The 15,160-nt window shown below is 45.7% G+C and overlaps 2 annotated features.

Annotated features, from left to right (window-relative positions):
* Positions 12,880-13,174: a silencer, noted in NCBI's record as "tiled region #1359; K562 Repressive non-DNase unmatched - State 22:ReprW". NCBI's record gives its function as "represses a minimal TATA promoter and a strong SV40 promoter by Sharpr-MPRA in K562 cells {active_cell/tissue: K562}" and the evidence as "EXISTENCE:reporter gene assay evidence [ECO:0000049][PMID:27701403]".
* Positions 13,845-14,094: an enhancer, noted in NCBI's record as "active region_20895". NCBI's record gives its function as "activates an Ori minimal core promoter by ATAC-STARR-seq in GM12878 lymphoblastoid cells {active_cell/tissue: GM12878}" and the evidence as "EXISTENCE:reporter gene assay evidence [ECO:0000049][PMID:35858748]".

Below are 15,160 nucleotides of genomic sequence, written 5' to 3'. Positions count from 1 at the left end.
GCCAGGATGGTCTCAATTTCCTGACTTCGTGATTCACCCGCCTCGGCCTCCCAAAGTGCTGGGGTTACAGGCGTGAGCCAGTGCAGAGGTTTTTTTAAGTGACCATGTTGTTCATTTCTTTTTACTTACGCAGTCTGAATTTTAGCCAAAACTACATTAGTAGAAAATGTTGTTATCGAACCAAACTGGGGTCTGCTTGCTTGACATAGTAAGGCCAAAACATCCACACTGAGGTATGCAGTGGGAGAAAAGGAGTTTATTTGCAGGGTGCCGGGCAAGGAGAAGTGAGTAGCTCATGCTCCAGACCCAACCCCCCAGATGGCTTATAGGTAAAGGTTAAAGGCAGGGAGACAGAGGTTACAGGCACATTCATATATCAATACATGGAGGCTATACATTGTCTAGGCCTGAAAGAGAAGGATATCTTACAGGTCACAGGTCAATTCAAAGATTTCCTGATTTGTGATTGGTTAATGTAATAGTCTGTTCTTGCACTGCTATAAAGAAATACCTGATATTGGGTAATTTATAAGAAAAGAGGTTTCATTGGCTCATGGTTCCATGGGCTGTACAGGAGGCATGGTTAGGAAGGCCTCAGGAAACTTACAATCATGGTGGAAGTTCAAAGGGAAACAGGTACATTTTTTTTTTTTTTTTTTTTTTTTTTTAGACGGAATTTCACTCTTGTCACCCAGGCTGGAGTGCAATGGTGTGATCTCAGCTCATCACAACCTCCGCCTCCCAGGTTCAAGTGATTCTCCTGCCTCAGCCTCCCAAGTAGCTGGGATTACAGGCATACGCCACCATGCCCAGCTAATTTGTGTATTTTCAGTAGAAATGGGGTTTCTCCATGTTGGTCAGGCTGGTCTCGAACTCCCGACCTCGGGTGATCTGACCGCCTCGGCCTCCCAAAGTGCTGGGATTACAAACATGAGCCACTGCGCCCAGCATCAAGCAGGCACATCTTACATGGCCAGAGCAGGAGCCAGAGAGGGGGCGGGGAGGAGCTACACACTTCTAAATGAGATCTCATGACAACCCACTCACTCACTGTGACAAGAACAGCACCAAGGGGATGTTGCTAACCCATTCATGAGAACTCCACCCCATGATCTAATCATCTCCTACCAGGCCCCACCTCCAACACCAGGGATTACAATTCCACATGCGATTTGGTGGAGATGCAGATCCAAACCATATACATTAAGGAGGTGCTAAAAACTTGGCATCAGCAGAAAAGACCATTAGCACTGGCTTGTGGGTGTGACCTCTGCCAGGACCCTGAGGAAGAAATTTAGAACAAAGAAGGGGTGTTGGAGTTCAGTCCTCGTTTCCCCCTTGTCTGAGGTTCACATGCCAGTGGATCCCTTTGGTGGGGGTCCAGGTTTCTGGAAAAATTCAGGGACATATGTTAAGATGTTTCTGTCGGAAGCCAAACATTCTTGCGACTCTAACTTCCTTGGTTATTGTTTTAAGCTACCGTTACCTTCTTGCTTATCAATTTGCTCATTTACTTTTCAGGGTTAGCTAGGTGCCTGGAATTTCCCTTGAAGAAACTCAAGGTTTTTCTTCATGTCCATGCTTGAGGGGCCCACAGTCCTCTGCAAGGGGTCCCGCTCCATTTCAATGTCATGAAACAAGACTTGGTACATCCATTTGAATTTAACCAACAGGGGGAGCCAGTTTTAGATGTTTAAAATATTTTGGTCAATGTAATGTTTTAGTTAACGAATTGTTGAAATTTTGTAAGGAAATGAAACTCAGTTGACTGGCTTTTACCGGGTGTTTCTATTTGAGTGTAGATAATTGTACCTCATGGCATGGGTGCTAAACATTTTAGGTTAAATATCTTCTTGTACTGGTAAATGAGGAGGGGAAGTGAAATATGGAACAAATCGTTACTCTGGACAGGAAGCAATAGAAAGGCAAATCAACGTTGTTCTCGATTTGGTCCTTTGCATTGTTGTCATATTTCTACTGGAAATGCTTCACAGCAATGCCCTTTTAGATCATTATTTAGATGTTCAGTAAATATGTGGCCTGATATAGCTCATACCCCAGCTGAGACTGAATGTTTCTGTTCCCCTGGGGAGAGACCTTGTACCTTGAGTTAATTTGCATATGAATTCAAGTGACTAGGAAAGTGAGAGAGCAGCTGACTGGGAAGCCAAGCTCCCCACCTTTGGGGGAGAGGGGTTAATACTGCAACAGGCATAGGTGTATATATTTTTTTGTGCAATTATAATTGGGAAGTCGAATGTTAAGGGGAGGGTTAAGTAACAACAAACTTCATTAGGTTGAGCTGGTCTACACCCCCTGATGAGGTGGGGCTTAGGGGTAGGTCCAGCTTGGAAGACAAACCAAGTAACTGCAAGCTAGATTCTTGGATAATCTGTATTTCTTTGTTAGGGGAAGTAACAGTTTATAAGATTGGGCTTTTCTTGGGAAGAACCTCGAGAGAATAAAAAGCTGGGCTCCCGTCAGCCCCTCTGGAGCAGAGGTTATCCTGGAGATGTAGATCAGCCCTGGAGGGATCAGCCTCTTCTCCGGACAAAGAAAGAGCTCAAAGATGGCTGGAGGGATTCCATCAACAGTTCACTGGGGAGGGAGCCATGCAACCAGTTATAGTCACAATAGTGTGAAAACTGGCAGCTCTTCCATGTAGGGGCATCAGCAAGATCAGTGCAGAACACTCCAGGAAAGGATGGCCGGGGGTGCGGTGGTTCATGCCTATAATCCCAGCACTTTGAGAGGCTGAGGTGGGTGGATCACTTGAGGCCAGGAGTTCAACTGGCCAACATCGTGAAACCTGTCTCTGCTAAAAATACAAAAATTAGTCAGGCATGCTGGTTGGCCCCTGTAATCCCAGCTACTCGGGAGGCTGAGGCAGAATTGCTTGAACCTGGAAGGCGGAAGTTGTAGTAAGCCAAGATCTTGCTATTGCACTCCAGCCTGGGTGATGAGTGAGACTCCATCTCAAACAAACAAACAAACAAACAAACAAAACCACACAAAAACAAAAATTAAAAAAACACAAAAAAGAAGACTCCAGGAAAGGCTTTGCACTTTCAGTGAGTGGCAAGAGGATGCTTGTTCCTGTGGCTGTGCCATCTCCTATTTCTATGGAATCCTTCCCACCTCCTTAAAAACTGGCTACTATATCTCTCATGTTTAGAAAAGCCTTCACTAGATCCCTCGTATCCCTCCAGCTGACAGACCATGTCTCTGTCCCTCTTTCCAGAAAACCAACTCAGAAGAGTTACTCTGCCTGCAATTCTTTACCTCCCTTCGGCCTACTCTTTTTCTGTGGGATGCTTTTGGTATTAAATAATAGAGAACTCTGAATCAACTGTGTAGAGTAAGATGGGGAATTCATTGGCTCAAGTGACAAGAACTCCACAGGTGGAGCAGGCTCCAGACAGGGGCTCTGGCAATTCCCTTGACTCCGCCCTCCTCTAGGGGGTTGGCTTTATCCTCAGGCTTGTGCCAAGGTGGTTTCCACAGAACTAGGGGTCACAGGCAGAAATGACAATAGCTAATGGGAGAAGGGCAGAGATCTTCTTGTGTCTCTTTTTAAGACAAAATGATACCTCCGGCCAGGCGCGGTGGCTCACTCCTGTAATCGCAGCACTTTGGGAGGCTGAGGTGGGTGGATCACCTGAGGTCAGGAGTTCAAGACCAGCCTGGCCAACACAGAGAAACCCTGTCTCCACTAAAAATACAAAAATTAGCTGGGCATCGTGGTGCATGCCTATAATCCCAGCTACTCAGGAGGCTGAGGCAGGAGAATCGCTTGAACCCAGGAGGCGGAGGCTATGGTAAGCCAAGATCACGCCATTGCACTTTAGCCTGGGCAACGGAGTGAGACTGTCTCAAAAAAAAAAAAAAAAAAAAAGAGGCCTCCACAGAAATCCTTCAACAGACATCCCCTCACATCTTGTTGGCCAGAATAATGGTATCACATAGCCATTGGCAAAGAAAAGTAGATCATGGTGTCTTGGTTTAAACCAGTCAGGATTTACACTGGAGCTGGCAGTAGGGGTTCTTTTTGCAAGGAAAAAGGGGTGAATAGAGTCTGGGAAGTAACTAACATTTACATCTACCTTTTATTCCCAACACTACATTGAAATGGAATTGCACAAGGCTTCAAATCCAGTGAGCATTTCTTTGTCTTCAATGTGTTCCTCCTTTTAGAAACATTTGACATAATTGAGCACCCATTAGCTTCTACTACATCTCCTGGCTTGACTTTCTCTTCTGCTTGTTTGTCAGTTTACTGCATTGGGTACACAGGATTTTAAAACATCCTATTTTGTCCTAAATTTTTGTCTTCCCAATGCAATTAGAGCAAATGATTCTCACCAAGTGAGGAGTGAGACGATTGGCCAGGACTTATAGCATGGCCAAGAATGAATTTTATGTCCCTTGGTTGATTAAACACCTCCAGCTTATAAAAGAGATTAATGAGACCAAGGTGCGTAAGAAATTGGAGAGAAAATTTGTTTAGAGAGATGTGCCCTATGAGTTTTTCCCCATCGTACAGAAGCAGTGGGGGATGCTTGCCCCTCCTGACCAGTGTAGGGAAAGGGGCTTTACTGGGGAGCACTTAGAAGGTGGATCACAGTGGACTAGAGTCTGCCCTTGGCCGGCTAGCTGTTCTAATGGCAGGGAGAAGAGATGGTGCTATGTTGGGGCAAATGATGCTTATGAGTGCTTCCCACGGGCCTGAGGTAGCACTCACAGAGAAAGCAAGCAAGCTTGAGGTTTTCTTAGATCCTGCCCAGGAGGGCTGCTTGGAGAAAAAAACCCAACCACAAACAAGTGTTGGAGATGTACTATTAGATTCCAAGGCAGTGAAAGAGGAATTGTAAGTGACCAGCCCTAGGAGATGCATTTACTTACAGCATGGGAACTGCCATTGTAAGATTTCCAAAGATGAGTCTGAAGAAACCATAATATTGTCCCAAAAGAGAAAGAATAAGCTCTAGATGCCTGGAAAGCCCAGACAGCTCTTATTAGTTTACGACAAGACTAGCCACGTAGGATCTTTCCTGCCCTGTCCCTTTCTACCTCCCCACTCTGCTTCCATTCTAGAGGAACCAGAGGCAGCCAAATGAGCTGGGAAAGAGGACGTCACATTTCAGGTGAAATAGAGGACAGCTGACTCCCACTGGAGGCAGCCAGGCTGGAGCAGAGAGCCTCAACTCTTCATGAATTTGGAATACTTTCTTATTACCATTCATAACGCTTATTGAAATGAGACTCTCTCTTTCTCTCTCTATGTGTGTGTGACCAGCAGTGACCAGATGGCTTTATATTATTTAAGAATGTCCACAAAAGTCACACAATCCCCTTCAGTTTTGTTCAAGGGAGCAGGGAACAACTAGTTCCATGGAGGGGATGGCTTGAACAGGTAGTGGAGGAAAAGAATAAAGTGGTTTTCTGATTACACTGCGTGCTTCCCTCTTGCTCAATGTATCATTAAAACTGGCTATTTCTGCTATCCAACCTTTAAATGAACTTATGCCCCAAGTCCTGTCCTGGGTCTTCTCTCTTTTTCCGTTTCATGGCTTTAACTTCTCCTAAGGGGGTGACTTCCAAATGTGTACCTTTAGCCCAAATATTTCATCTGGGCCCCAGAATCATGAATCCAATTGCCACCGGCAACTTTACATGGACCTCTAATAGGCATCTTAATATGCCCAAATTTCCCTGCCCCATCTTCACCATCTGTTTTTTTTTCCAATTTTTTCCATATAGTTTGTTAAATTATATAATAAAGAGCATAATCTTCCAAACAGTTGCTTAAACCCCACATTGAGGAATCGTTTTAGATTTCTTCCTCGTCCTCCCCGCCTGCATTCAGCTCATGACAAAGTCTTGCCAATTCTACCTGAAGAATATATCCCAAATGCATCCTCTTCCTGCCATCTCTGCTGTCACCCCCAGTCCAAGGCGCCATAATCTTTTGCCTGGACTACAGTCAAACCCTCCTATCTGGCCTCCCTTCTTCCACTTCCCTGTTTAGTCTGTTTTCTACATCACGAGGATGGATTTCTTTTTTTTTTTTTTTTTTTTTTGAGATGGAGTCTCCCTCTGTCCCCCAGGCTGGAGTGCAGTGGCGCTATCTTGACTCACTGCAACCTCTGCCTTCTGGGATCAAGTGATTCTCATGCCTCAGCCTCCCTGAGTAGTTGGGACTATAGGCGTGTACCACCATGCCCAGCTAAGTTTTTTTGTACTTTTAGTAGAGACGAGGTTTCACCATGTTGGCCAGGCTGGTCTCAAACTCTGGACCTTAGGTGATCCACCAATCTCAGCCTCCCAAAGTGCTGGGATTACAGGCGTGAGCCACCGCGCCCGGCCACAAGAGTGGATTTTTAAACATTTAAATCTAATCATGCATGTCACTGCCCTACTTAAATCTTCTATTATTTTCCTTCTTCATGTAGAATAAACTTCAAACTACTAACCATGGCCTAGAAAAGCCTCCATGACCTAGTCCCTGTCTTCCTCTTTCGTTACAACTGACTACTCTCTCTTGCTCACTAAGCTGCAGCTGCTTTTGCTTGACTGTCCCAGTTTCCTGCCTACTTCCTGTTCTCCCTGCCTAGAATGTTCTTCTACTGACTCTTGTAAGACTGGGTCTTTGTCAACCTTCAGATCTCTGCTCAAATATCAACTTCTTGGGGAGGCTTTTTCTCAGCAAGCTTTCTTTCCTTTCCTTTCCTTTTCTTTTCTTTTCTTTTTTCCTTAGAGACAGGGCCCCACTGTGTCACCCAGGCTGGAGTTCAGTAGCACGATCATACCTCATTGCATCCTTGAAGTCCCGGCCTCAAGCGATCCTCCCACCTCAGCCTCCCAAGTAGCTGGGGCTACAGGTGTACACCACCAGGCCTGGCTAATTTTTCTTATGTTTTTGTAGAGATGGGGCCTTGCTATGGTGTCCAAGCTGGTATTGAACTCCTGGCCTCAAGTGATCCCCCTGTCTCGGCTTCCCAAAATGCTGAGATTACATGCATAAGCCACCTTGCCTGGCCCTGAGCACTCTTTCTAAAGCAGGTTCTCCTGCACCCTGTGTTACTCTCTATCTAATCACTATATTTCTTTTGTCCATAGCACTAGTCAAACATTTAAATTATCTCACTACTTGTTTAATTATTGTCTATCTCTTTTATCACAATATAAATTTCATTGAGATAGAGACCTTTCTGTCTTATTCACACAAGTATTCTTGGCACCTAGAATAGTATCTGGCAGATAGTAGGTGCTCAGTAAATACTCAGTGAATAAATGAATGAAAGGGGCAACATTCACCCATGTGTAAGTATCCTCTGGAGGAACTATGTAGACTGAGTTAGATGAGCCCAGAGTGAAACCATAAGACCTTTAAAGCTCGTTCCGAGGAGAGGATGTTGCTTGAAGGTGTGGTTTCCTCCAACTGAGTGAGCCGCCGCCCTACACCACTGTGTTACCTGGGAAGAGAAGGATAGGAGAATGTTCAGGGCCAGGGGACACTAGATGTTAACAGAAATTCATTTCGTTTTCTTTTGAGTTAGAAGATGAAAGATAAGAAAACTTCTCAAGGCTTGGGCAGCCCCTCTCCAAGAAAATCCTGCTAGAATGGCAAGAAGGGCAATACTTTAAGCATTCCACCCTTTGATGGCCATACAGAGTGACAATCCCTTCCATGCAGAGGGCACAGGTGGACACCTCCCTCCTTGCAATCAGAGCATGTACCTACACTGGAGCCCTCAAGACCTCCTAAGGCTGAAAAATGTCTCGTGCACACCCAACTAATAGAAGATCCACGGTGTCTTGGGTGAGGTTCTGTGAGCCATAGAAACAATGAGAAATTTGGGGATATCATTGTGTATTTATTAATTTTTTATTTTTATTTATTTATTTGAGATGGAGTCTCGCTCTGTTGCCCAGGCTGGAGTGCAGTGGCACGATCTCAGCTCACTGCAAGCTCCGCCCCCCCAGGTTCACATCATTCTCCTGCCTCAGCCTCCTGAGTAGCTGGGACTACAGGTGCCCGCCACCATGCCCAGCTAATTTTTTTGTATTTTTCGTAGAGACAGTGTTTCTCCATGTTAGCCAGGATGGTCTCGATCTCCTGACCTCGTGATCTGCCTGCCTCAGCCTCCCAAAGTGCTGGGATTACGGGCGTGAGCCACCGCACCTGGCCCCATTGTGTGTTTATAACCCCCATCCCCTCCTCACAACCAAATTCAAACTGCAAATAGCAATAGACGCCAATGACTATTTGACCAACACGCTATGGTGGAAAACACATGGGCTTTGGGGGTCAGAGACACCTGGGCTCAAATTCCATCTCTGTCACGTATGGCTTAATGATCTTGGGAAATTTGCTTAACCTCTCTGAACCGTAATCTTCGTCTATGACAAAATTACCCTTTGCAAAGTTGTTTGGGTTCAGTGGTTTGATACATGGAAAGGACCCAACAAATAGTGGTATGATCGTTATGGTGGTAGATTTTTGGCTTACAACTCAGCATGCTAAAACACTTTATAGGCATGATAAAATGCAAAGTCTGTCTTACCTTTCTCCTCCTATCTCTATAAACCTTAGAGGATTTGAGCCTTGTAGAGAAACCAAATATTTTAAAACAAAAAGTTTATTTTCAAATGAATTTTGGTAAAGGTTGATATCCAATGTGTCCATTTGAGCTGGGTTTTTTTACTCAGCAGCAAGAATCCTAATACAGCATGTAACACAATTCTTGACCATAGCAGCAACTCTCTAACTGTTTAACTCTCAACTCTCTAACTGATTGCTGTTGTTATGACTGTTGCCCTTGGTCCATGAAGTCTATGAAGATTGTACCCCTAGCTTCACTGGGGCATTCCTGAAACTCACTGTCAGTATGGTTCTAGAGACAGTTTGATAAGTCCAACTGTCCTTAAACAAAATCTTTGCTATTGGTTCTATCCATAGAGTACACCTGTTTCTACTTCCCTCTCTTATTCACGAAGTCACCCATTGATCCATTCATCATGTCACAAGCTAGGAAAAAGAGCTTCCTGTTAGTTAAATTATCTGATAACAAGAGACACAGGGATTCCTCAGTATCTCCAAAACAGACTCCAGTCGAAGCCAATTGGGAGTGAGAGAGAGGATCTGGTGTTGGTGCTCTGTGAAGGAAGACTCGTTATGTCCCTACAGTTAAGAGTTTTCTTACCTTTGAACAGTGCTTAGATAGGCTGTTCCTGTCCTTTGTTGACAGCTAATGGTTTTTTACAGGCCTGAGCTGATTCATGTCCTGCCTGACCCTGACTCTCACATCAGCCTCCTGAACTCATCTGTACTTGGCCTAACTTTAATTATCTGGTAACAGCTGCTGCCTCCTTCTCTGGTGCAGCCCCAGTCTGGGCCTGGCTTCCAGCTGGCTTCCTGAGAGCAGGCCTCCAAGGGGCTGGAACATAGATTCTGCATGTCTTTGCAGAGGGGTATTTTCCCTGATAGCATATCCCCTTGGAGTGGCAGAGAGTTACTTTTCAGCAATCCTTGCCATTCACAGACGAGTTTTCTGCTATTTGAGCTCACTATTGCCAGAGATGGCCAGAGGAGCAGTGTTTATCACATAAGGAACGTGTCCTTGGATGCGGATCACCCTCGTCTGGCAGCAAACCAAAAACACCATTCATTCCGCCTCTTCTCAGAGCCACAGCTGGGACATTACAAACTGCATTAATATGCCAGAAAAATACCCCAGCAAAGGCTTCAGGGCAGGGAGCGACTGGGGTCAGCCCTATGGCATCAGTCAGCTCTCGGTCTCCAAGGCTGAGGCCTCTTCTTTCAGCAGCCTTATGGGTACAGTAATGCTGGGAAGGTGCTTCCATGGTGTTAAGAAGGTGGGACAAGGGACTCAGGAAGGAGTGCCCCTGGGCCTGGGACTGATGGTAGGTGGCCTGATGCCACTCTCAGGACTGGAGATAGTTCTACTTACAGGAGTGGAGCCAGGGTACAAGGATCACAGTCAGGTCAGATGGGGGAGGGCTGTTTGCTTGAAGCAGCCTGAGGCCATGTGGCCAGGGTGGAGAGCCAAAATCACCCCCCAAAACAAGCAGCGTAAACAGAATGAAAGAAAGTGTGAGGAATGGCCAAAGAGGCTGTTTCAAATGAAGGCTGTGGATAGCAAATCTGTGAGGGGGTTTCCTTCCCTGTGGGGCTGGTGTGACTCTGGAGGTGGGTGTGAGGGCTTAAAGTAGCTGCACAGGGTGCGCAGCTGGAAGGCTGAGCCTGGAACCTGGTGGGAGGGGCTTCCCTCAGTTTCCTAGGGTTGGGGAAGTGTAGGATTGATCGAATTCCTGACATAGTCTGCCTCCCTGACTGCAAAACTTTGTCTTCTATGGATCTATAGGATTTTTTTTTTCATTTCCATGATGTGTGATAATGAAATGTGGACTATTCTCACACCAAACGTATCTATGAAACTTGCAAGCCTATAAATAACCTGCCCCACTTTTTAGATCTCCTCAGGTCCAAGATGAAGACTTTGGTGTCTCACCCATGCTGAGTTCTGGGCTGTCACAAGAGGCACACTTGCTAGATTGCAGGCAGACTTTGTCCTCTTTATCAAGATCAGCTATGGCCCTGCAGTCTCCTGATCCACAAATTAGGTGGCAATCATTTTGCTAAATGTCTTCCATCTTTTCTTTATATCTATCCGTGATGCCTTTCTCAATTTTTTTTTGTCATGCCATCTAATCATTTTGTCCTCTACCAGCAGAAAATAAAACCTTAAATGTTTTTTAAATGTGATTTTTTGTGTGTGTGAACAGAGGAAATCATAGAGAGCTGTGATAAACTTGAGAAAGATGACAAACTTTTGAGGAATATCTAACCATTGGCTAAATCTGAACAATGATAATGTGATGGAAATAGCAGTAAAGAGATCTGGGCTCCAGTCCTATCTGAGTCTCCAGTTAACAGCATGACCCCTGAAATCACTCAGCCTCTCTGGGCCTCATCTGCCAAATGAAAGCTTGACTAGATCGGGGCTTCTCAAGTTGTAACATGCACACGAATTACTGGGCTCTGTTAAAATGCAGATTCTGATTCAGTAGGTCTGGGATGTGGCCTGAGACTCTGCATCCCAGATGATGCTGTTATGTTGCTACTGGTCAGACTTGACTAGCACTCTGTAATCACTGCAGAGACTAGCAGTCTCTGCTAAAAACACACAAATTTGCTGGGCGTGATGGTGCGCACCTGTAATCCCAGCTACTCGGGGAGCTGAGGCAGGAGAATCACTTGAACCCGGGAGGCAGAGCTTGCAGTGGGCTAAGATCGCGCCATTGCACTCCAGCCTGGGTGACAAGAGGGAGACTCCATCTCAAAAAACAAAAAAACAACAAAAAAACTGTCTTCAGGTGATTTTAACATGCTGTCCAAGGTTGAATATTACTATGATGAACTCTAGGAGTCTATGAACGTATGTATATGCACAAACATACATATGTATGCATACATATACATATGTGCATATATGTGTATGAATGTGTATATATACATACACACATGGAAAGTGAGTGTTTGATTTTTTCAGAGAATGTAGAAAATTAGAATCTGCTCCCTTTTGGCTTTCGATGTGTGGGGAGGGAGGGCAGAGAAGGATCAGAGGAAAGAGCAAAATGACTGTCCAGCCAAAAATGACATGAGGGTAAACAAAGCCAGCCACTTGCCCTGTTTGTAAGCTGCCCAATGTCCAGGCAGCAGCACTCCTGAGACAGGCTGATACAGAGCTTGTCAACCAAATGGGGCCTGCCAGACCTTGGGCTGTGACCTGGTCTGACCAGGATTTTAAACTAAAACCCTTTCTGCTTATGTATATATATGTATATATATATATATATATATATAATTTTTTTTTTTTTTTATTTTGAGATGGAGTCTCACTCTATTGCCGAGGCTGGAGTGAATGCAGTGGCTCAATCTCAGCTCACTGCAACCCACCTCGGCCTCCCAAAGTGTTGGGATTACAGGCAGGAGCCACCACACCTGGCCCCCTTTCCATTTTTAAACCTAAGTAGCTAGCACTATAAACCAGTAGGGCCAAACCACCTGCCAATTTGTAATTTCAGCAGTTTATTCTAAGCTTGGAAAAGCTGAGTGCACTTACCATAGGCCAGGCACCTGCAATAGAAAGGTTGGGCGGGGGGACAGTTTCCACTGTTTATGGAAGATGACGAAGAAAGTCATTGTGCTTGATTTTCATTGTATCATCATCAGAAAAGCAAAAGCAAAGAGTCAATGGCTCTTTGAAATGGCAGCTGTCTTTCAGGAGGATGAACATTAGAGAAAAACAGCTATGAAGTCAAGGCCTCTGCTCAATGAATAAATAGCCCATTTGTTCCTTGAAGGGTTTGCTTGAAGGCCAGCCTGGGTAACTTGGGGAGGAGGAGCTGAATGGCTCATCTGAAATCCTAAGGCAAATTTGCACTTGGGGGTTGGTGGTGACTGAAAAGATGGGAAAGGAGAAGGAGGGAGAGACACAAGCAGGGCCAGGGTGTCCTGGGTAGGGTATGGGTAGTGAGATATGTCTAGTTCTGGATGTTTTTGCAAAGGGACTTTTTTTTTTTTTTTTTTGAGACGGAGTCTTGCTCTGTCACCCAGGCTGGAGTGCAGTAGCACGATCTCAGATCACTGCAACTTCCACCTCCCCGGTTCAAGCAATTCTCCTGCCTCAGCCTCCTGAGTAGTTGGGATTACAGGCACACACCACTATGCCCAGCTAATTTTTGTATTTTTAGTAGAGACGGGGTTTCACTATGTTGGTCAGGCTAGTCTCGAACTCCTGACCTTGTGATCTGTCTGCCTCGGCCTCCCAAAGTGCTGGGATTACAGGTGTGAGCCACCACGTCCAGCTGCAAAGGGACTTTTGAGAATGAGTCGTCTGAGGAGTGTCTGAGCTGGTGCGGGGCAGCTCCCTCGTTCTCCTCACAGCAGCAACCTGCAAGTGAAAGGGCTGGTCCTGCTGAAATAACACCAGCGCCTAGATAAAGGAACAACCGTGGGGACAGAATGGAGACCCTCAATGCAGAGGAGGCTGGGACTGAGAGCTGCAGGAGCTGTGTGCACAGTCCTCCCTGCCCTGCCCCATTTGCAGAAATCTCAGGGAGAGTCCTGGACTTTCCACAGGACACAGGAATGGGATTGCAACCTGTTTTATCTAGACCTTAAAGGAGCAGAGCTACTCCAGCTGACACCAGGCCACATTTCAAGTCAGGTTTATTGAATGATGTGTTGGAGGAAATGCTTAAGATTCTGCATTTTCCTTATGCCTGAACTCTGAACCATTACCAGTTTATGGACATATGGAGGTAGTTGAAGTCAAAGGATATAGAGATTAGCTTATTTTAAGATAGTGAGTGACTAGGATGAGGGGATTTGTTGACCTGCTTCTTGAGAAAAGTGACTTATTGGGAACTTAAGCTCTGAGGCACTCAAAGGCCAGTAGACTGCACTTCCTGAGTGATAGAACTTTGGCAAGTTGTCGGAACACTGACCTTGATACTTATCCAGGGAGGCGCAGCGCCTTAGTTTCAAACCGCACGACTGGAGACTGCTCATTTTCCATTTCTGTACTGCCGAGAGCTTGGTGAAGTCACAGGTTTTGAAGAGTTACAGAGTTATTTGGAGGAAATAAGTTGCAATCTTGGAAGAGATTTGAGGAGTTTGAATCATGCTTAAGTTTCTGTGGCTGCCGCCGGAATCTTAGGAAATGATTTCCATACAGCTTATTAATTTCCCAGAAAACTGGTTTCCCTAGTGATGAGTGTTAATTTACAAGACCTGTAATGTAACTGCATGGATGGATTTTGCACCCAATGAGTGGGCCACGGAGTGGGTGGCAGGGCCCCCCTGTGGGAGTATGCTGAGGGGGCGGACTGGAATTAAAATCGGTCCACTGAGCTGTGTACCCTTGAGGGAGGCTGCATCTGCGGGGGAGGAAGGGTTGCCGTTTTCGTTTTCTTTTTCTTTTTCTTTTTTTTCTGAGATGGAGTCTTGCTCTGTCGCCCAGGCTGGAGTGCAATGGTGTGATCTCGGCTTACTGCAACCTCCACCTCCTGGGTTCAAGCGATTCTCCTGCCTCAGCTTCCTGAGTAGCTGGGATTACAGGCACGAGCCACCATACCGGGCTAATTTTTGTATTTTTAGAAGAGACGGGGTTTCACCATGTTGGTCAGGCTGATCTTGAGCTCCTGACCTTGTGATCCGCCCGCCTCAGCCTCCCAAAGTGCTGGGATTACAGGCATGAGCCACCGCGCCTGGCCAGGGGTGCCTTTTTCTAACACATCCACCTGGAGGTACCTTCCCCAAATTTGCCCAAGGGTGGCATCTAAGCAGGCAATTGAAGGACCTTAGTAAATGATGCCACATGAGGGTAGGCATCATTGTCCCCCTTTGGCCATCCTGACATGGTAATGGGGGTGGGAAGCCCCTAAGCAGGTACCCACATAGAGAGAGGCCAAGGAAAACTTGGATGTACCTTCACATGGATCCCTCGAGATTGATCAGTTCTCAGTGGCTCTGAGAAAACTGAAATACTTTAGCAGATGTTATTTAACTTTGGAGAGCAAATTTCCGTACGTTTCTGAATTAACATGGGTTTACCTTATCAATGTATTGCATTTTCAAAGATAAAAATATATTATGCCTTTGGGAAGCTGAAGTGGGCGGATGACCTGGGGTCAGCAGTCCGAGGCCAGTCTGGCCAACATGGTGACACTCTGCCTCTACTAAAAATACAAAAATTAGCTGGGCGTGGTGGCGGATCACGAGGTCAAGAGTTTGAGACCATCCTGGCCAACATGGTGAAACCTCCTCTCTACTAAAAACACAAAAATTTGCTGGGCATGGTGGCAGGCACCTGTAGTCCTAGCTACTCAAGAGGCTGAGGCAGGAGAATCATTTGAACCCACGAGACGGAGGTTGCAGTGAGCCGAGATCGCGCCACTGCACTCCAGCCTGGCGACAGAGCAAGACTCCATCTCAAAAAAGAAAGAAAGAAACAAAAACCTAATTGAATTAGAAAAGCCACAATCGTTTCTCTTTAAATCGAGTGAGAGTACATACCTAATTATCTGTTGGGTGTACCCACATCCTGTTCTCACTTAGGATGAATTTTGG

This window comes from Homo sapiens, chromosome 3, assembly GCF_000001405.40.
Source record: "Homo sapiens chromosome 3, GRCh38.p14 Primary Assembly".
Lineage (NCBI taxonomy): Eukaryota > Metazoa > Chordata > Mammalia > Primates > Hominidae > Homo > Homo sapiens.
The sequence above is the reverse complement of the archived record's forward strand: the minus strand, read 5'-3'. Positions and strand labels throughout refer to the sequence as shown.